Raw genomic sequence first — 22663 nt, 5'->3', positions numbered from 1 at the left:
ATCTCTTGACATCAGGAACTGCCCACCTCTGCCTCACAAAGTGCTGAGATTACAGGCCTGAGCCACTGCACCTGGGCTAAACTATTTTTTTTTATGCTAAGGCAACCAATCATTTTGTTTTAGGATAAAAATATATTTATCACTCAGACCACACAAAATTTTTTGATATAAAAATTGTTTTCTGTATATTTTGTATATGGAACTACATATACTAAGAACTTTTAATTTTTAGTAACCTTAATTTTTTTTTTTTTGAGACCAAGTCTTGCTCTGTTGCCCGGGCTGGAGTATAGTGGCACAATCTTGGCTCACTGCAACCTCCACTTCCCAGGTTCCAATGATTCTCCTGACTCAGCCTCCCAAGTAGCTGGGACTACAGGCGCCCGCCACCGTGCCCGGCTAATTTTTGTATTTTTAGTAGAGACGGGGTTTCACCACGTTGGCCAGGATGGTCTTGATCTCTTGACCTCGTGACCCACCCGCCTCAGCCTCCCAAAGTGCTGGGATTACAGGCGTGAGCCACCACACCCAGCCAGAACAATTTTCAATGTAGAACAGGGCATTTTATTAATGGATCCAAGTATCTTTTGTGTTTTATAAAACTTAAGGGCCAAGAACAAACTTGTATTTATGTTTAGCGATTTGTTTCAGCTGTTTTCTTAGTTGGAAAGATCCCGACATTTAATGAGTACCTATTACTTAATCTAACACAACATAACTTTAATATTTCATCTTCCTATGATAAGAGCAAGAGAAAAAAGATTTCCAATTACATGAAAAGTTCATTTATAAACATGTATCTCACATTTACCTCGTTTATTCATTTTTAACAATTATACCTAGATTACTTATGAAAACTGACATATTAAACATAGCCTGTTGGCCAGGTGAGGTGGCTCACACCTCCCCATCCAGGGACTCTGCCCATTAAGCCTGTTTCAGCAAAATTCCTGTCAACTCTGTTTAGCCAGAATCCCCCTGCACCTGATGTCTCCTCCAAGTAATTTCCCATCTTCTGACCCTGCTCCCCACCACCCTGCTCTTGACTATAAATCCCCACTTGTCCTTGGTGGAGTCCAAGTCGATCCCAATATCTCTCCTACCACAAAAACCCATTGCAGTGGCCCGTGTACATCTCATATTACTCCCCCTTCTGAGTAAAATCGTGCCTACGATCTTTTTTTTTTTTTTTAATTTTCAGAGACAAAGTCTCATTTTGTCACTCAGGCTAGAGTGCGGTGACCCAATCCTAGCTCACTGCAGCCTCAAACTCCAGGGCCCAAGCAATCTTCCTGCACCAGCCTCCTGAGTGGCTGGGACTACAGGTACACACCACCAAATGCAGCTTTTTTTTTTTTTTTAATTATCTACTGAGACAGGAGAACTGCTCGGACTCGGGAGGCGAGGTGCATTGAGCCAAGATCACGCCACTGCACTCCAGCCTGGGTGACAGAGCGAGACTCCATCATAAATAAATAAATAAAAAATAACCTATTGGATAGATTGGATATGAAAACATTAAATGCTCAAATAAATAATTCAGTGAAATAGGTTGGATATTAAAACGGATATAGTTGAAAAGGCAAAGGCTGACCTGAGGAAATGAGTCTAAAGAATTCATAAAACTAATCGGTAATGGATACAGATGAAGTAAATGAAAGAAAAGTTAATTAATAGGGAGGATAAAAGAATAAATGTCAAAACACATCTAATAGTAGCCTTATAAGAAGAGAATATAGTCATTAAACAAGAGAGTGTACTGAAATAAGTAATGAAAGAGAATTTCTCAGATTTAGAAAAATGACTTAAGATTTAAAGGTATTTATAAGTACACACACACACAGGATCAGTGAAATGTAAAATTGTGAAAGGAAGAAAAAGTAGTTTTAAAACGATCAGAGAGAAATAGCAGGTTACTTACAGAGGAAAAATAATTAAACTGATATTGGGTCTCTCAAACACCACACTGGAGGCAAGGATACAATGGTGTAATAACTCCAAAGTGTTGAAAGAAAGGAATTTTTTTTTTTTTGAGACAGAGTCTCACTTTGTCACTCAGGCTGGGGTGCAGTGGCATAATCCTGGCTCACTATAACCTCCGACTCTCGGGTTCAAGCGATTCTACTGCCTCAGCCTCCCGAGTAGCTGGGGCTACCGTTGCACACCACCACACCGAGCTAATTTTTGTACTTTTAGAAGAGACAGAGTTTCCCGTGTTGGCCAGGCTGTTCTCGAACTCCTGACCTCAGGCCTTCCAAAGTGCTGGGATTACAGGCATGAGCCACCGCGCCTGGCCTATCTGATAGTTTTTCTATATAACTCTTTGTCCCTGGGAAAAATGTGTCACCCCAGAAACTACATGTGAGTTTCAGGGTTTCTGGATTGATAGGTCATAGGATACACAGCCTCTAGAGCTGAGCTGAGCTGAGCCAATTCTTTCCAGTTCCTAGCCTATTAGCCCCCAGAGATGCTTACAGGATTTCTGCCTTACAGAGTGGAGGGAGTCTACGGGTGGGTGATATTGGTTGTAATTGCCTAGCTCAGAGGGCAGAGGAAGAGGTAGGAAAGGAATGCTCAGTTACTGGCCAGCTTTGATGAGTCTGCACTTTTTCTAGGAGCTTTCCAAGCCCCCTATTCCTTAATGTTATCACGCCACTTTGGGCTAGCACTAGGCCAGCCCTGCCAAATGTCTGCTCTATATGTTTACAGAACAGGTAATAAGCCTTCCAGAAAACAAGGAGAAAACAAGAATGCAACTTAGAAAGCTCCACCTGGGCTGATCCTCCATCTGTGGCCTCTGACCTTTTCCCACTCTAAGCCGTCTCATCCCCCAGTGGGGCCAAACCATCAAGGGTTTTGTTACAGGAACTGTTCTGAACTCCAACCACTTCCCACCTCTTCTGTGGCATCTGCAGGGTTGGGTTTGGGAAGGAAGCCAGCAGCTATTCCTGGTTCACCATCTTCTTCTTGAACCAGATATGCCTTTACATTTTAAAAGTAATTTGAAGTCATTACTAACAACAAGTAAAAGATATATACTAACTTAACCACACGACAGGCACTATTCTAAGTGCTTTACACGTACTTGCCCATTTAATCATAGCAATCAAATGAGCTAGATAGTGTGGTTATCCCCAGTTTACTCTGGAGTAGCCTGAAACACGGAAAGGTTATATGACTTACACAAGGTCACATAGCTTAATAAGTTGGGAAGCCAGAAACTGAACCCAAGCTGTCTGGTTCCAGAGTTTGTACTCTAAAATACTAGTGTTAAGTGGGCACAGTGACTCACTCCTATAATCCCACCACTTTGAGAGGCAGAGTTGGGAGGATTGCTTGAGGACAAGAGTTCAAGGTCAGCCTGGGCAACATAGCAAGACCCTGTCTCTACCAAAAAAAAATTAATTAGCCAGGGGTGGTGGTTCATACCTGAAGTCCCAGCCACATGGGAGGCTGAGGCAGGAGGATCACTTGAGCTGAGGAGGCTGGGGCTTCATTGAGCCACGATTGTGCTATGGAACTCTAGCCTGGGCACCAGAGTGAGGCCCTGTCTAAAATAAAACAAAATAAAATGCTCGTGTTTTTAACCATTCTACCATTCTATCATTCATTAGTATCTGTATGCATTCCTTGAACACCAAAATAACTTCTCTTTTCTTTTCTGTCCCTCCTCCCATCTTCCATGTTTATAATACCTGCAAATTTAGTTCAAGACTATAATTTTTTTAATTTACAATCTAAACTTTACACTTTTCAATAAATTCTAGTATTTTTCTCCTCACCATTGCTTATTGAAATCTTCTCCTTCCTCTTAAATTTACAACCTCTGCCTCCCGTGTTCAAGCGATTCTCCTGCCTCAGGTTCCTGAGTAGCTGAGACTACAGGCGCGTGCTACCGTGCCTGGCTAATTTTTTGTATTTTTATTAGAGACGAGGTTTCGTCGTGGTAGCCAGGATGGTGTTGATCCCCTGACCTCATGATCCGCCCTCCTCAGCCCCCTAAAGTGCTGGGATTATAGGCGTGAGCCACCCCGCCCCGCCTAAAATTTGCCTTTTTAAACGGTTGTTTATGGTGTCTTTTGACTTAGATGATACTTTAATTTTTACATCTTTAACTATGTCAGATTAATTGTTTATAGCCTTGGTGTAATGTCAGGAATTGCTTATGCCAATTCAAGATGTCTTACACTGTAATATTTTCCTGAATTTTCATCTAGTTCTTTATGACTTCACATTTTCACATTTATGTCTCTGAACATTTAGAATTTATTATTTTATGTGGTTCAGAGTAAGGATTTAATCTTCATTTTTTCAAATGGATAGACACTTGTCACCAATCCTTTATTATACAACCCATCTTTTGCCCACTGTTTGTTTGGAAATGCATGCTGAAGTTGGTATATAAATTAGTCTGTTTCTTGACTTTCTATTTAGTTACACTAATCTGTTTCTACGTATATTCATTTTTGATTGTTGCTGTAACAAATTGTCAATAGCTAAGACAACGCTGGGAGTGGTGGCTCACGCCTGTAATACCAGCACTTTGGAAGGCCGAGATGGGCAGATCGCTTCAGGTCAGGAGTTCAAGACCAGCCTGGCCAACATGACAAAACACCGTCTCTAATAAAAATACAAAAATTAACTGGGTGTGGTGGTGAGTGCCTGAAATCCCAGCTACTCGGGGGGCTGAGGCAGGAGAATCACTTGAACATGGGAGGTGGAGGCTGCAGCGAGCCAAGATCACTCCACTGATCTCCAGCTTGGGTGACACAAGTGAGACTCCATCTCAAAAAATATTTATATAGCTAAGACAATTTTTGAAAAAGAAGAATAAGGTGGGAGGAATGGCTCTTTCATATTTCAATACTTTTTATATAGCTATAGGAATCAAGACTGTGTAGTACTGGGAGAAGAATAGACGCATAGATCACTGGAACAAAATAGAGAACCTAGAAATAGCCCCACACTGATTTTTTACCAAGAGACAAAAAGAAGGAAGGATTGTCTGCTGAACAAATGGTGCTGAAGATGTTGTAGACATAGGCCAAAAAAAAAAGACCTAATTTTCATACCTTTATACAAGAAAGTAACTCAAGTGGATCATAGATTTAAATCTAAAATATAAAACTAAAAGAAAACTTTTACAATAAAATATAGGAGAAACATCTGAGATCTAGGGCATAGTGAACGGTTCAAAAAGCATAATCCATAAGGAAAAAAATAAATTAGATTTCATCCAATTTAAAACTTGTGCTCTGCAAGAAATCTTTTTAAAAGGATGAAAAAACAGGTTATGACCTGGGAGAGAGTGCTTGCAAACCACATATCCAAGAAAGGACTCACATCCAGAATATATAATGGATATACATACTACTCTCAAAACTCAATGGTAGGCTGAGCATGGTGGCTCACACTTGTAATCCCAGCACTTAGAAAGGTCGAGGTCGGGGGGGCGGGGGCAGATCCCTTGAGGCTAGGAGTTCGAGACCAGCCTGGGCAACATGGCAAAAAACACATCTCTGCTGAAATACACAAATTAGACAGGCATGATGATGCGTGCCTGTAATCCCAGCTACTCGGGAGGCTAAGGCACGAGAATCGCTTGAACCTGGAAGGCGGAGGTTGGAGTGAGCCAAGATCATGCCACTGCACTCCAGCCTGGGTAACAGAGAGAGACTCTGTCTCAAGAAAAATAATAATAATAAAAGAAACCTCAATGGTAAAAAATGCAAACAAATAATCCAATTAGAAAATCATGAAAAGATATGAACATACATTTCACTGAAGAGGAAATAAGCAAATAAGCACATGAAAAGATGTTCAACACTCATTTGCTTCACTAGATGCAGAATAACACCACGATGAGGTATCACTACACACTTATTACAATAGCTAAAATAAAAGACATAGTGACAACATGGTGACAAGGATGCAGAGAAACTGGACACCTCATTAAGTGCTGCTGGGAAGGTAAAATCTTACAGCCACTCTGGAAAGCAGTTTGGTAGTTTCTTATAAAACTAAACAATGCAGTGACCATACAATTCAACAATTACACTTCAGAGAAATTAAAATGTATGCCCATCCAGAAACTTGTACATAATTGTTCATAGCAGCTTTACTTGTAATAGCCAATAGCTGGAAATAATCAATATGTCCTAAAATAAGTGAATGGTCAAACTGTGGTATATCCATCCCCTGGAATGCTACTCAGCAATAAAAATGAACTATCGTCAGGGCACAGTGGCTCACCCTGTTACCCTAGCACTTTGGGAGGCCGAGGCGGGTGGATCATGACGTCAGGAGTTCAAGACCAGCCTTGCCAGTATGTTGAAACCCCATCTCTATTACTAATATAAAAATTACCCAGGTGTGGTGGCATGCACCTGTAGTCACAGCTACCTGGGAGGCTGAGGCTAGAAAACTGCTTGAACCTGGGTGGCAGAGGTTGCAGTGAGCTGAGACACTGCACTCCAGCCTGGGCGACAGAGTGAGACTCCGTCTCAACAACAACAACAACAATGAACTATTGATACACAAATATCAATATCTTGGAGGAATCTCCATGGAATTATGCTGAGTGAAATAAACCCCTAAAACGTTATATACTATAAGATTTCATTTGTACAGCATTGTAGAAAAGAGAAAATTATAGAAATGAAAAACAGATTAGTGGTTGCCAGGGGTTAGGGATGGTGGATGGGATGAGAGTGAGTATTACTAAAAATGAGTAGCACAAGGGATAGCATTATGATGATGGAAATGTTCTGTACCTTTTTTTTTTTTTCTGAGAGGGATTCTCACTCTGTCACCTAAGCTGTAGTGCAGTGGCATGATCTTGGCTCACTGCAACCTCTGCCTCCCGGGTTCAAGCGATTCTCTTGTCTCAGCCTCCCATGTAGCTGGGAATACAGGCGTGTGCCACCATGCCTGGCTAATTTTTGTATTTTTGTATTTTTTGTATTTTTGTAGTAGAGACAGGGTTTCTCCATGTTGGCCAGGCTGGTCTCGAACTCCTGATCTCAAGTAATCTGCCCACCTCGCCCTCCCAAAGTGCTGGGATTACAAGCGTGAACCACTGCACCCAGGCATGTTCTGTATCTTTTTTTTTTCTGAAATATAAGCTTTATACTAAATTTAAAGAAATATTAAAAATAAACATTTTTTAACAAATTATAATCAAGCACTCAAAACAATTTAGGAATGTTAAACACTAATTCTTAATTGAAAATAATGACATCCATAGAATACATCCTGGTGTTGGCCAACAGGAAGTTTACTTAATATTAGTATTTTATACATACTTAACCATTCATCCTTCCTAAAATTCAATGATAACAATGATTTGACTTTATAAGGTGAAGTCTTTTATGTAATTCCCTAGAGATAACTTTTTCAAATGCAAAGCATTTATACCAGCAAGGAAATTATAAAAACATATATAAAGTATACTGAAGGATGTAATTTAAACACTGTCTGTATATGTAGATACGTTTAACCTTAGAAAGTACACATCAAAACACTTTCACAGAATATAGATGCCATTGCATGCTCTTACTTACGTTACAAAGCAAACAGCAGCTTCATAAACGTTGTTCTGCTATGTATTAACTGAAAAAAATAGATACTCCACAAAAAGATTTTGAAGACACATGGAGTGGAATGTGCCCGCATTAAGAGCAGAGCTTTTACAAGACCACCTGTCTCCAGCCGGCTCCCAGGGACCACTGAAAACAGCTGCTACCCTCAGAACGACAAGATGGTCTTGTTAATGATTTCACTGGACTTGAATCTCATCCCCCTTCACCACCAGCGGAGGCGAAACCTGATGATGTCGCCATGGGTTGGCTTGGCCAGAAGTGGATAATCTTGAAGTCGTAGACACACCTTCCAAGCATCACAATCTTTGCTTTCTTTAATAACAATAGAAATTAATAATTCTTTTCCTCCCAGGCACAGTGGCTCACGCCTGTAATCCCAACATTTTCGGAGGCCGAGGTGGGTGCATCACCTGAGGTCAGGAGTTCAAGACCAGCGTGGCCAACATGGTGAAACCTAGTCTCTACTAAAAATATGAAAATTAGCTGGGCATAGTGGCACATGCCTGTAATCCCAGCTACTCAGGAGGCCGAGGCAAGGAGATTCGCTAGAACTCAGCAGGCAGAGGTTGCAGTGAGCCAAGATCGCACCATTGCATACTGGGCAACCAGAGTGAACCTCTGACTCTAAATACATACATACATACACACATACACACAATAATTCTCTTCCTCTTACAGCAGTTACAGCATCAGAAGGTAGCTTCATGGGTTCATTTCTCAAGAGAATACCTATTGTTTTCTGTATTTTCAGCAAGGTTTTCTTCTTCTAAAACCTCAAGGGCTGCGATGGCCACTCGGCAGCCTAGTGGATTGCCACCGTATGTGGACCCATGGTCGCCTGGCTTAATGCTCAGCATTATGTCATCGTCCCACAGCACTGCAGACATAGAGTATCAGCCCCCAGAAAAGGCCTTTCCGAGGAGGACTATATCAGGTCTGACATTTTCATGATCAACAGCCAGCCATCTACCAGTTCTGGCCAATCCTATCTGTATTTCAGCAGCAATGAACAGAACCAAGCTGGGAGCACGAGATGGGATGAGGGTAAGTTAATATACCACAAAGCTTACTGTTTTTACAGAGTTTCAGCTGGTTCGTTCGTTCCTTCCTTCCTTCCTTCCTTCCTTCCTTCCTTCCTTCCTTCCTTCCTTCCTTTCTTTTCTTTCTTCTTTCTTTCAAGTATGGATGTATTTATTTATTTGACAGTCTTGCTCTGTCGCCCAAGCTGGAGTGCAGTGGTGTGATCTCAGCTCAATGCAACGTCCGCTTCCCAGGTTCAAATCATTGAGCGAGCCCAGAAAGTCAAAAGCAGCCGGGGAAAAATAGCAAAAGGCAGGGCGGTGCATGCCTGTAGTCCCAAGGCTGAAGCAGGAGGATCGCTTGAGCCCAGGAGGTAGGGACCAGCCAGGACAACATAGCAAAACTGTCTCTGCTAGAAAAATTAAAAATATTAGTGGTGGTGGGGTGGTGTGAGCCTGTAGTCACCAGGCTGAGGCGGGAGGATTGTTTGAGCCCGGGAGGTAGAGGCCAGCCTGGCCAACATAGCGAAACCCCATTTCTACTAACAACAAGAACAACAAAAAAATTGCGTGGGTGGGATGGCTCACTCCTGTAGTTCCGAGGCCAAGGTGGGAGGACTGCTTGAGCCCAGGAGGTCAATACCAGCCTGGCCAACGTAGCGAAAGCCTGTCTTTCCTATAAGTAAATAAATAAATAAATAAATAAATAAATAAATAAATAAATAAAATAAAATAAAATAAAATAAAATAAAAATGAGCAGGGCAGAATGGCAGTAGTCCTGAGGCCGTGGTGGAAGGATCCCTTGAGCCCAGGAGGTTGAGGCCAGCCTGGCCAACATAGCGAAACCGTCTCTTTTAAAAAATCCAAAAACAAAAAATATTAGTGGGGGTGGGGTGGTTCCCACCTGTAGTCGCGAGACCGAGGCGGGAAGATTGGCCAAGGCGGATGTAACCAATACCACAATCACATCCCATAAGTAAATACATTTTCCTCTCTCCAGGGCTACAGGTAAAGGATGGTAATTGTGCACACCACACTTAGATTCCCTTTCAAAAATGTAATCAGAGGTTGGAGGGCCTTGGACTGTTTTTTCAGTAGCAACAGATATAGAAGCCACTGAAGAATGAAAGCCACTACTAAGTACAGCAAAGCTCTGCAAATGTGCTAGTCTGGAAAACATTGTGTCTTTCAAGTAGAAAAATCACAGATCCGACTATTTTTTTCTTCTCGCTGTTCAGACTAGAAAACAGATTTTTAACCCAAGATCCAGGGACGGTCTTCAGAGAGTTCAAAATCTCCTGACGGCGCCTGAGGACCACCCACTTTGTCGCAGTGGCAACAAAGTGTTGCTGGAGGAGGAGACAATATTGTGCAATGTCACTATGCAGGGATGATGGACCAATCAGGGCAGTTAGTGAACTCCATCTGGCCAATCAGAAGTCAGAACAGTAGCGTGATAAGCGAAGCTGATGTGGCTTCTATCAGTCCAGGCTCCAGGGACAGAACCTTCTCAAAGTGGGGGTGGAGACTCTGATTTTCCCGCCTAAAGCATCCCCTGGGATTGGCTACTTTAAGTTCAGAGTATGCATGCTCTGACTTTCTCTCTCGATTCTTCCATACTCAGAGTACGCACGGTCTGATTTTCTCTTTTGATTCTTCCAAAATCAGAGTAAGCATGCGCTGATTTTCTTTTTCCATTCTTACTACCCCTCCCCTCCTCTGTGGTGCATTTGTTATCTAGTTTTAATAAGGAGTGTATGTGAGGCAGGTCGCCATCTCAAATCCTTCCTGTCAGTTTCTAACTTTTTCAGGTATGGGATTTTTCCTGGGAACTCTAGTAACTTAACAAATTTGGGCCGGGTACGGTGGCTCACGCTTGTAATTCCAGCAGTTTTGGAGGCCACAGCTGGTGGATCACTTGAACCCAGGAGGCGGAGGTTGCAGTGAGCCATGATCACACCACTGCATCCCAGCCTGGGCAGCAGAGAGAGACCATGACTCAAAAAAAAAAAAAAAAAAAAACTCACTCAAATCTTTCCTCCTGGGATCAAGTGATCCTCTCGCGTAGGCCTTGGGACTAGAGGTGCACACCACTCCGCTTCTGTTAATGTGTGTGTGTGTGTGTGTGTTTTGTTGTTGTTGTTGTTTTAGTAGAGATGGTTTCGGTATGTTGGCCAGGCTGGTCTCAAGCTCATGGGCTCAAGCGATCCGCCCTCCTTGGCCTCCCAAAGTGCTGGGATTACAGGCGTGAGCCACTGCGCCTGGCTGATTGCTGCACCTTGAAACTCCCTACATTCTCTCTAAGTGATGGCGGGCTCTTGTAGTCTCAGAAATTCTAGCTCTCTTCTTCTAATAATTTACAAATCACCCAGTAATAGCCTCTAAATCCGTTCATATTAGCCATGCTCATTTCTCTTCAACAGAACAGAACCCCCTATCCCTCTGCCTGATCAGATCCATCACCAGAGAGACGATGTTATCTCTGGGACTCATTTCCCTTCCATTATTTATTGAGTCGGGGTGTCAGCATGCCCCCACTGAATAAAATTACACAGTCACATCTCTGCCTTCCCAACAAGGGTCTGTACATCTTTCAGAGTAAGGCTAGCCCCAGGGAAACTACTAACAACATTAGCCAACCCCCTCCCAAAGACTCAAGGCTGCTTTGCCCACAGGAAGCCTGTCATCCCAAATCAATACTTCTCCCAGAGACCCCTGGTTCCCTATTTTCATCTGACTTCGCCCCATGTCATTACTCAGGGACAGATAAGCCCCAGATGGAGAAATGAAGCACCTGATTCCAGGTGACTGAGGGTGGCCGGCCTTCACTGATTTCTCCCTCCACAAGACCAAAGCTGCTGTGGCTGGAAAGACTCAGGCTATTTCTCTTGCAGGTCAGACTGCTCCTGGTGCCATGAACGGAGACGACGCCTTTGCAAGGAGACCTAGGGCTGGTGCTCAAATACCAGAGAAGATCCAAAAGGTGAGGTGACCTGGAGGGAGCAGAGTAGTGGCCCAGGGGACAGTGTGGGGTGGCCAAGTTTCTGAGGAGGGGAGGACAGAGATACTGGAGACAAGGACCAGGGTCTTGGGGGAGATCTGGATCCTTGAGAGCCTCCCATCCTCGCTCTGTCATCAACTAGCATCCTTGGAGACAAGTCTGTGACCGTGCACTACATTTGGTGAATCTCAGTCCATTCTGGAAAGTGGGAAGAGAGTCAGTCAGCAGCATTAAAGCCCTACTGTGTGGCAGGGGTGAAGCTAGGAAAGGTCGCTCATGTTGTCGGTTAGCCATGGCATCATCCCCACTTCCCAGATCCAGCACACAGGAAGGGGCTCCAGCTGAATGGCAGACATGTCTAGCTGAGTCACTGACAAAATTCCTTTTTTATCTTTTCCTAGTCCTTCGATGATATTGCCAAATACTTCTCTAAGAAAGAGTGGGAAAAGATGAAATCCTTGGAGAAAATCAGCTATGTGTATATGAAGAGAAAGTATGAGGCCATGACTAAACTAGGTAACAGAAAGTTCTAGGTACAGACAAGTCTGGGGACACATGAGCATCCCTATTCCTGCTTTGGCTACTTCTTAGGCTGCAGAAAGTACCCCACATTTTCCTTTTGTGCAGGGAAAAATCGCAAGGCAGCTTCTGGGTGTTCTCCTCTTCTGTATCCTGTCAGGGCTGAGGGCAGGGACTGGCCACAGTGGAGCTCATACCTGGATCCTGCACGTTTCTCTCCCTTAGGCTTCTGTTCTGATGAGTCCAAGTGTCTCTGTGGCATCCCGGCACCCCCACACCGTCCCTACCTTCCTTCTCTCGGCTTGTATCTTTCTTTCTTTCTTTTTTTTTGAGTCTGAGTCTCAGTCTGTCACCTAGGCTAGTTTGCAGTAGTGCAGTCATAGCTCACTGCAGCCTTGAACTCCTGGCCTCAAGCAATACTCCAGCCTCAGCCTCCCAAAGCACTGGTACTACAGATATGAGCCACCGTGACAGGTCAAAGCTTGTCTCTTAAGGAATAAACATTTTGCTTCTTTCTAGGCTTCAAGGCCACCCTCCCACCTTTCATGCATAATACAGGGGCCACAGACCTCCAGGGGAATGATTTTGATAATGACCGTAACCAAGGGAATCAGGGTGAGTAGACGGGAAGGGGCTGGAAAGGGTCTCCTCAAGCCCAGCTGCTTTTCAGCTCAGCTACTTGGGAAAGATCCTCAGGCATTTGTTCCCTCATACACATCAGGGCTGAGTGAAAAAAAAAAAAATTGCATGCAGAAAGTTAACTACAGAGGCCATTCATATAAAATTTTAAAACACGAAAAACAAGAATATATATTTTTATAGATAATAAGTAAATGGTAAATGTATACAAACATGAATGTGAATAAAAAGCCATCAAATTGAGGTGACTGGCTGTAAGTGGAGGAGGGAGGGCGGGCAGGGATTGCTGAGTGCTGCACAGACAGCTTCAGCTGTGACTTGTTGATAGTGTGTTTTGTTTGTTTTTGTTTTTGAGATGGAGTTTCACTCTTCTCGGCCAGGGTAGAGTGCAATAAGGCAATCTCAGCTCACTCCAACTTTCACCTCCTGGGTTCAAGTGATTCTCCTGCCTCAGCCTCCGGAGTAGCTGGGGTTACGGGTGCCCGCCCCCACACCCAGCTCATTTTTTATTTTTGGTAGAGACGGGGTTTTACCATGTTGACCAGGCTGGTCTCAAACTTCCTGACCTCAGGTGATCCACCTGCCTCAGCCTCCCAAAGTGCTGGGATTACAAGTGTGAGCTACCATGCCCGGCCTGTTTGTAGTTTTTCTAATATTGTGAATAAATAAATCAAACCTAGCATAGCTGTGGGGTAATGTTGAGATCCGACTGGACTCAATATTATTCCTCATACTTTTCTGTGTGTTTGAAATATTTCTTTTTTAGATGACATGTTGTTCTTCCTAAGCACCATTAATGAATCAAAGGACTGCTAAAAAAATGTTACAAGAGAAAAAAAGAAGAAAGAAAATGTTACAACTGTAGATTCGCCAAAAACTTCCAGAGTTTGTCTCATTAACAGCATGTAGGTATTGGATAGGTATCTTAGGAGTGAGGATGATGAACACATTATGTAATAAAGATCGCTGTTTCTCTGTATTTTATCAGAGCCAAATAGTCTTTTCATTCCCAAAGAACCCTGATTCTCCGTGATGAGCTTGGAAGAGAGTTTGAAAGAGTGATCCCTCATCCAACACACAGAGAGAGCTTTCCCACTTGCCAGAGAGCAGAGATAACATAGGGTGAAAAAAAGACAGGTTCTTCGGTAGAGATCTTTGTACGTTTTGGGAATATAAAGGGGTCACATATGTGTTTCCTTGCTCTTCTGCTCTGACAACACAATTATAAGACAAGGTCAGAACGTCCAAACTGTCTCCAATAGACCTATTACTCCCCAACTAAAAAGGCCAGATTCTAAAATCTCCCACGATCACTGTAAGAGATCTGAAAATCCAGTGCTTGGGTGTCTGCCAAGATTTTGACATTAAAGGACTGTCTTTATACTGAAAATATCTCAGAGCCACTGGACTAAATCATCCATGGTTCATCACACATTTAACAGCTTAATTCACATACCATAAGATTCACCCATTTGAAGTGTGCAATGATTTTCAGTTGTTGCACATCTTGAGTGGATACAGTTCAGATTCCTAACCAATCAATTTAATTATTTGGAAAAAAATAAAAGATATGTAAAGGAATAAGATGAGACTGTGATGGGGTTTAGTCCCCATTTGATAAACCATGAGATGGAAAATTCTGAATTGATGCCACAGATAAATGAATCAACCATGACTAAACATAATTCAGAAGCAAAACTGAAATAACTCCTCAACAATGAGTGGACTCATAACACTCTGCTGCAGAATACCCTGATGCTACAGAAGTCTCTAGAGTTTGGAAATCTTTACCAACAAAGAAAAATTCTGATATATTCTCTTTCAGTTGAACGTCCTCAGATGACTTTTTGCAGGCTCCAGAGAATCTTCCCGAAGGTGAGTGTCTCTCAGATCTAAAGGACCAGAGAACCTTTGTCCCTCCATGGATGCAAACACTGGTAAGAGTGGGAGAATATAAAAAATGCCCTCACTGCCTCCTTCTCCCCATGTCTATCACAACACCTGATGTAGCACCAACAGCTTAATAATACTAACAGTTGTGATCCTTAATACATCTTTTGTTTTCATAGTGATGCCAGATACTATTTTAAGCAGTTCACATGGATTAATGTATTTAATCCTTAAGAAGACCTGTATGACTTTGTTTCTATTATTATCTCCAAATAATAATGAGTCACACACTTCGGTTGTCGTCCATATAAAAGCCATGTGACTTGGCACAAGTCTTCTAAGTTCTCTGAGCTCCAGATTCCTGGTCCATGAAATGGAAGTAAAGAATCGTAGTTATCAGCAACATAATAATAAAATGAGGCTATTGGGGTATAGATATGTTAAATAATTTTCCTGGGGCACAGTGGCAGTGGTAGTCTAATCCAGAGCTCCAAGCCATTTAAAGCTCATTCACGTTTGCATTTGTTTATGAAGTTCAGATGTTGCTCACTAGGGCTTCACCCCATAGGGCCTGCTGGTGCTTCCATTGAGACACCCATTCTCGCAATAGGAAAGACCAGCTGGCCTCTGCTCTGTTACTGGGACCACTTGCATGGCTTAGGAATCGTTTTGACTGTTGGCCCCTCCCTACTGTGAGCTCCTTGAGGACCTTGTCTGCACCTGGGGCATCCCAGAAGCCCCCATCCCAGCCCAGGGGATCCCTCGGAGGCCCCTGAATGAGTGACCCCACAAGTGCAGATTCAACTCTGGTTTAGAGGGTAAAGGGATCTGGGAGTTGGGTTGCTAGTGTGGAGACCGAATTGAAGGAAGGATCATGAAAGGTATTAATTGTTATTATTACTGCATTTAAACAGTGTTTACAAGCTCAGAGAGGACTTTCCCGTAGACTATTTTACATGTATTGTTCACTATCTCATAAGCAAGGAAGCTGAATAAAAAGTAGATTAAGAGCGGGGCACGGTGGCTAGCGACTGTAATCCCAGCACTTTGGGAGGCTGAGGTGGATGGATCACTAGGTCAAGAGGTCAAGACCATCCTGCCCAACATGGTAAAACCTCATCTCTATTAAAAATACAAAACTTAGCGGGGCGTGGTAGCGCCTGCCTGCAGTCCCAGATACTCTGGAGGCTGTTGCATGAGTCACTTAAACACAGGAGTTGGATGTTGCAGTGAGCTGAGATCGTGCCACTGCACTGCAGCCTGGTGACAGAGTGAGACTCTGTCTCAAAACAAAACAACAAAAAAAAAAGTAGCTTAAGATTGTTGGTCAGTGACACATCCCAATGCAACCAGAATTGGTATGGGTACCACCTCACTGAATTCCACATTCAGTGTTGGTGCCTCGGTAGGGTGGTATGCCAGATCTGGTACTGCTTTCTTCGCTGCCTAGATTAATTTTAGCAAACCATTTCTTTACCTCTCCCTTCCCTGTATTAATCTCCCCACACCATCTTTCCCAGCAGTGTTTTGTCCCCTCTCTATGTTTTTACATTTACTCTCCCAGCAGCTAAGAGCTTATATGAGATCCCTTGTATTTCATAGAAGCTCTTCCTTTTGTAGACCTTGTGAATTTTAAAAATGCTATCCTTCTTCCAATCTTTTGTATACCAAACTCTCAATTGCATGGAGATTTTTACTGTTTGCAAGAATGTCAGTCTTAAAGAGTGTGAAGATAAGCATTCTAGCCCTGGAAACGATATTCACATAGGCCATTCCTTTCCCGTCTAACTTCCCAGGTTTCTCCTAATTTAGGCATGTGTAACTCTCCCAGCATTGTTGAGAACATTGATTAAGGTAATGCATGTGAAGACGCTTTGTAAGCTCTAAAGCACTATAGAAATGTCACTGATTCTGTTTATCTGTGACCTTCACATTATAAAGATCATGCCCAAGAAGCCAGCAGAGGAAGGAAATGATTCGAAGGGAGTGCCAGAAGCATCTGGCTCACAGAACGATGGGAAACACCTGTGCCCTCCAGGAAAACCAAGTACCTCTGAGAAGATTAACAAGACATCCGGTAAGAGGAAAGAATTCGGGAACAAACCCTCTGGCTTCCGTGGCTATGTTCAGGTGTGTGGACTGGGTGTGTGGCATGGACCCCAGACAAGCCTGGGTCCAGGCTGGGCTGAGGAGCTCGCCCAGCTCCAGATGAGATGTTTGACTGGACTTCCAGAGATACAGACTGGAGTTGTCACCCATATACAAACCACGTGACTTGGGGCTAGTCTTCCAAATTTTCTCAGTTCCAGATTCCTAGTCCATAAGATGGAAATAAAGAATCATAGTTCATAAATTGTTTGGAGACATTAAATTTAATCTAGAAGGCCTGATGACATGAAAGGTGCTCAAGCGATTCTATCTTTGATAACCTGGGATAATATCTTACTCAGCTCAATGCCTGATACCCAATAAAGTTGTACTTCAGAGATATTGCAGATTCGGTTCCAGACCACTGCAATAATGTGAGTCACACACATTGTTTTTTTGGTTTAGCAGTGCATAAAAACATTATGTTTACACTATACTGCAGTCTACTAAGAGTGCAATAGCATTATGTCTAAAAATGTACATACCTTTATTTTAAAATAATTCATTGTCAAAAATGCTAATAATCTTCTGAGTCTTCAGTGACTCACTCTTTTTGCTGGTGGAGGGTCTTGCCTCGGTGTTGATGGCTGCTGGCTGATCAAGGTGGTGGTTGCTGAAGGGTGGAGTGGCTGTGGCAGTTTCTTAAAAGAACACAACAATGAAATTTGCCACATTGATTAACTCTCTGCTTCATGAAGGATTTCTCTGTAGTATGTGATGCTATGGACAGCATTTTACCCACAGTAGAACTTCTTTCAAAGTTCGAGTCAATTCTCTCTAGCTATGAAAGTCCTAGAAGGCATCTCCTTCCAATAGAAGGCTATTTTATCTACATTGAAAATCTGTTGTTTAGTGTAGCCACCTTCAACAGTGATCTTAGCTAGATCTTCTGGATAACTTGCTGCAGCTTCTCCATCAGGGTTTGCTGCTTCACCTTGCACTTTTAAGTTATGGAGATGGCTTCTTTCCTTAAACTTCATGAACCAACCTCTGCTAGCTTCACACATTTCTCCTGCAGCTTCTTCACCTCTCTCAGCTTTCATGGACTGGAAGAGAGTTCTGGTCTTGCTCTGAATTAGACTTTGGCTTAAGGGAATGTTGTGGCTGGTTTCATCAAATATCCTGACCACTCAAACTTTCTCTATTTGAGCAGTAAGGCAGTTTTGCTTTCTTATTCGTGTGTTCACTGGAGTGTTAATATTATTATTTCCTTCAAGGACTTTCCCTTTGCATTATATACTATTATTTCCTTCAAGAACTTTTCCTTTGCATTCACAGCTTGGCTGTTTGGTGCAAGAGGCCGAGCTTTCAGCCTGTCTTGGCTTTCAGCATGCCTTCCTCACTAAGCTTAGCCATTTCTAGCTTCTGATGTACAGTGTGAGACACGCGACTCTTCCTTTCATTTGAATACTTAGCGGCCATTATAGGGTTGTCAATCATCCTAATTTCAATATAGGTGTGTCTCAAGAAATAGGGAGGTCCAAGAAAAGGAGGAGAGATGGGGAATAGCTCATCGGTGGAGCAGTCAGAAGACACACAACATTAATCGATTAAGTTTGTCATCTTCTATGGGTGCAGTTCCTGGTACCCACCCCCCAAACAATTACACAGAACAGGGTGATTATTGTCAATAATAACTTAATTGTACATTTTAAAAAAACTAGAAGAGTGTAATTGGATTGTTTATAACACAAGGATAAGTGGTTGAAGGGATGGATACCCTATTTTCCATGATGTGATTATTACGCATGGCATGCGTGTATCAAAACATCTCACGTACCCCATAAGTATATACACCTACTGTGTATGCACAAAAATAAAAAACACGGACGGGCGCCGTGGCTCACGCCTGTGATCCCAGCACTTTGGGAGGCCGAGGCAGGCAGATCACGAAGTCGGGAGATCGAGACCATCCTGGCTAATACGGTGAAACCCCGTCTCTACTAAAAATACAAAATATTAGCCAGGCGTGGTGACATGCTCCTGTAGTCCCAGCTACTCGGGAGGCTGAGGCAGGAGAATCGCTTGAACTGGAGAGGCAGAGGTTGCAGTGAGCTGAGATTGCTCCACTGCACTCCAGTCTGGGCGACAGAGCGAGACTTCATCTCAAACAAAATAAAATAAAATAAAAATTAAAAATTAAAAAATTAAAATTATTTTAAAAGACTAAAAAACAACAAAAACAATTTCAGTAATAATATCAAAGCTCACTGATCACAGATCACTATAACAGATATAATAATAACGGAAAGGTGTAAAATTGATGAGAGTTTCCAAAAAAAAACATTGCAGCATCTGTGAAGCACTATGAAAATGTTGTGCAATAAAAAAAAGTATGCCTCGGTGCCCTCAATAAAAACACGTGCTGAATGAAAGGAGGTAAGGGTGGATGTTCCCGTAAGTGAAAAGGTTGGGAATCTAAACCCCACAACAGAAGGAGCCAGAAGCTAAAACTTTAATTGGCATTTGGCCTGTATTGGTGTGGGTCTAAGGTCTCAGCCTCTCTAAGCCAGAGAATGTGAAAAACTGGATAAAGAAGGCCCATGGGCACTTGGGAGGGGGGAGGCATCTCCTTTTTTTGAGAAAACAGAGCCTAACACTCTCCAACCTACCCAACCCTCACTTTCCAACTATTCTCCATCACAGGACCCAAAAGGGGGAAACATGCCTGGACCCACAGACTGCGTGAGAGAAAGCAGCTGGTGATTTATGAAGAGATCAGCGACCCTGAAGAAGACGACGAGTAACTCCGTAAGTGAACCTTCGGCTCATCCCCCACATCCCTGCAGATGTGGTATTCTGTTATGATACTGGTATCCCATCTGTCACTTGCTCCCCAAATCATTCCCGTCTCATAATTTTCTAGGGTACAGCATTGAGGCCGAATGATGAGAGATTTCCCACGTTTTTTTTTTTTTTTTGACGGATTCGCCCTTTGTGGCCCAGGCTGCAGTGCAGCAGCATGATCTCCGCTTACTGCAAGCTCCGCCTCACGGGTTCACGCCATTCTCCTGCCTCAGCCTCTCCAGTAGCTGGGACTACAAGTGCCCGCCACCACGCCCGGGTAATTTTTTTTGTATTTTTGGTAGAGACGGGGTTTCACCGTGTTAGCCAGGATGGTCTCGGTCTCCTGACCTCGTGATCCGCCCGCCTCGGCCTCCCAAAGTTCTGGGATTACAGGCGTGAACCACCGCGCCTGGCCTTCGTAAGCTCTTTTTACTCCCTGCCCTGTATATCCAGGAATGCTCCCTACCCAGGATGCTGTGGGTTCCCGAACTCCAGATCAGCCCTGTATGTGGGCCACACCTTCCTCTAGCCTAGGAATGGATAACCCAGGCGAAGAAGTCACTGTGGCATGAGCGGATGGTTCACTTCAAGGAACCATGGAAGGCGTGTGCAGGTCCTGGGGTAGGGCAGAATCAGAGTGTGCAGGGTCTGCAGGTCAGGAGGAGTTGAGATTGAGTTGTCACGTGGTGGGAACTCACTGCCACTTACTTTCCTTCTCTCTTCTTGCCTCAGCCTCGGGGATACGACATATGCCCATGATGAGAAGCAGAACGTGGTGACCTTTCACGAACATGGGCATGGCTGCGGACCCCTCGTCATCAGGTGCATAGCAAGTGAAAGCAAGTGTTCACAACAGTGAAAAGTTGAGCGTCGTTTTTCTTAGTGTGACAAGAGTTCGATGTTAGTGTTTCCATTGTATTTTCTTACAGTGTGCCATTCTGTTAGATATTAGCGTTTTCATTGATGAGCAAGACATGCTTAATGTGTATTTCGGTTTGTGTATCCATGCACCTACCTCAGAAAGCAAGTATAGTCAGGTATTCTCTCCATAGAACAGCACTACCCTCCTCTCTCCCCAGATGTGACTACTGAGGGCAGATCTGAGTGTTTAATTTCCGATTTTCCCCTCTGCATTTACACACCAGACACACAAACACACACACACAGACACACACACACACAGACACACCAAGTACCAGTATAAGCATCTCCCATATGCTTTTCCCCATTGCCATGAGTCCTGGTCAAGCCCCCCTTCAATTTGTTTCCTGTTCAGCATGTACTCCCCTCCTCTGATTCCCCGTATCAGTCACTGACAGTTAATACACCTTTGCAAACGTTCCCCAGTTGTTTGCTCCTCTCATTAATGTGCGCACAGGTCTCTGCACCTGTGTGAATATTTCTTTAGGAAAGATTCTTAGAAGTTGAATTGCTGTGTCAAAGGAGTCATTTATTCAACAAAACACTAATGAGTGTGTTCTCGTGCTGGGCGTTGTTCTAGGTGCTGGAGAGACATCAGTGAACAAGGCAGGCAGATGTTCCTGACCACCATTCCAGAGGAGGATGTTTCCAGTTGTTGGGTTTCTTTGTTTGTTTCTTTTTTCTAGAGAAGGGGTCTTGCACTGCCCAGGCTAGAGTGCAGTGGCATGATCATAGTTCAATGCAGCCTTGAACTCGTGGGCTCAAGTGATCCTCCCACCTTAGCCTGCAGAGAAGCTGTGACTACAGGCATGCACCATCATGACCCACTAATTTTTTTAAGATTTTGTCAAGAAAGTCTGTCTATGTTACCCAGGCTGTTCTTAAATTCCTGTGCCAAAGCGATCCTCCCACCTTGGTCTCCTAAAGTGTTGGGATTACAGGTGTGAGCCCCAGCACCTGGCCTCCAGTTTTTATTTTGATATACACTATACACTTCAGTCCTGGAGCAGGATTCTGCAGCAGGTGGTTGGGCATCTTGGCCTTCGCTCTCTGAATGATTTTCGGTTTCAAGGTCTGGGACGGTCCATTTGGGTGGATGTGGGAGGAGACACAGATGAAATCGTCATCTGGGGAATGTGGAGGAATCAGGCAGATGCGTGCACTGTAGATCCTGTGATGGACAGGGAATAGAAGAGTCCACTTAGTCTCCATGCAGGGGAGCAATTGGTGGGAAAGTCCCCTGGACAGAAGCATGAGAACGCCCATCAAGGGTCTCACCAATCAAGGGCCTGGGAGTTGGGGTGGGGATGATGATTTGGGAATGGGACTGTTCTTTCTCACATATACCACTGCACAGTGCAGAGGTGAAAGAGTTGTGGGGAAGGAAGGGCAGAGGGGAGTCTATTTTAGAACAAACTATTCTGTGTCAATGGAGACATCAAAGCTCCATTCACACACAATGGACTTGAAACACCAGCCCCAGGTGGAGGCAGGATTGGAGCTGTTTTGCCCGTTCGTGGCCCATCACCTTGGCCTCCTGGTTCTCTCCAGCCTGAGAAGGAGGACACTATCATCATTATGCCTATGTGACAGATGAGAGACGGAGACCCAGACAGATGGCAGGCGTCTTGTCACAGGTCCTACAGCTGGCAGGTGCAGGAGGGGCTGAGTTTGGATCTCACTGACTTCAGAAACATTAAGGAGGACAGGTGTGTGATGGAAGGAGGGAGAACTGAACAAGCCCCGGGCTCTGTCCCCAGTCACAATGTAAAGGCTGTGGGTTCATTTACCGAAGACAAGGAGCCCTAGGAGAGAGAGAGTGCGGGGAGGGAGAGGCAGTCGTGGTCACAGCAGGGACAGTGGGAGACAGAGATATGCAGGGTGGGCAGAAGAGGGGCAGGCAAAGAAGCAGGGGAGACCCAAGGCCAAGTGTGGGCTGTCACAGCCACCAGAGGGAGAGGGTGCCAGGAAGGAGGTTGTGGGGCTCAAGGAGCAAGAGGTTCCCCAGATCTGTGAGCATGCCCTGCCTGGCACTGCAGGAAGAGATGGCTGCCACCCAGGTCAGTGTGGACGTACCTCTACCTGTGTCTCAGAGGAAACAAATTCGATTTTATACCAATATAGTTCTGTATTACAC

General features: G+C 43.9%; 1 protein-coding gene and 1 pseudogene across 1 annotated transcript; one reads left to right on the top strand and one right to left on the bottom strand.

The window, feature by feature from the left end:
- Positions 7114 to 9831, bottom strand: LOC791097 (ornithine aminotransferase pseudogene; annotated as a pseudogene).
- On the top strand, positions 10108 to 20947 carry SSX7 (SSX family member 7). The gene is made up of 8 exons (NM_173358.2): positions 10108 to 10246; positions 11516 to 11604; positions 12024 to 12138; positions 12661 to 12756; positions 14606 to 14655; positions 16612 to 16747; positions 19465 to 19569; positions 20338 to 20947. The coding sequence occupies exons 2-7, from the start codon at positions 11536 to 11538 to the stop codon at positions 19563 to 19565; spliced, it is 567 nt and encodes a 188-aa protein (NP_775494.1). The 5' UTR covers positions 10108 to 10246; positions 11516 to 11535; the 3' UTR covers positions 19566 to 19569; positions 20338 to 20947.
- Positions 20948 to 22663: the final 1716 nt, after the last annotated feature.

Source organism: Homo sapiens, chromosome X (assembly GCF_000001405.40).
Source record: "Homo sapiens chromosome X, GRCh38.p14 Primary Assembly".
NCBI classification, from domain to species: domain Eukaryota; kingdom Metazoa; phylum Chordata; class Mammalia; order Primates; family Hominidae; genus Homo; species Homo sapiens.
This window is presented reverse-complemented; position numbering and strand designations above follow the sequence as displayed.

Excerpts from the sequence above, each read along its gene's own strand:
- SSX7 (NM_173358.2), top strand. The coding sequence starts at position 11,536 with ATGAACGGAGACGACGCCTTTGCAAGGAGACCTAGGGCTGGTGCTCAA. Across the intron at positions 14,656-16,611 it reads TCCAGAGAATCTTCCCGAAG|ATCATGCCCAAGAAGCCAGC; the intron begins GTGAGTGTCTCT and ends CACATTATAAAG. Across the intron at positions 16,748-19,464 it reads GAAGATTAACAAGACATCCG|GACCCAAAAGGGGGAAACAT; the intron begins GTAAGAGGAAAG and ends TCTCCATCACAG.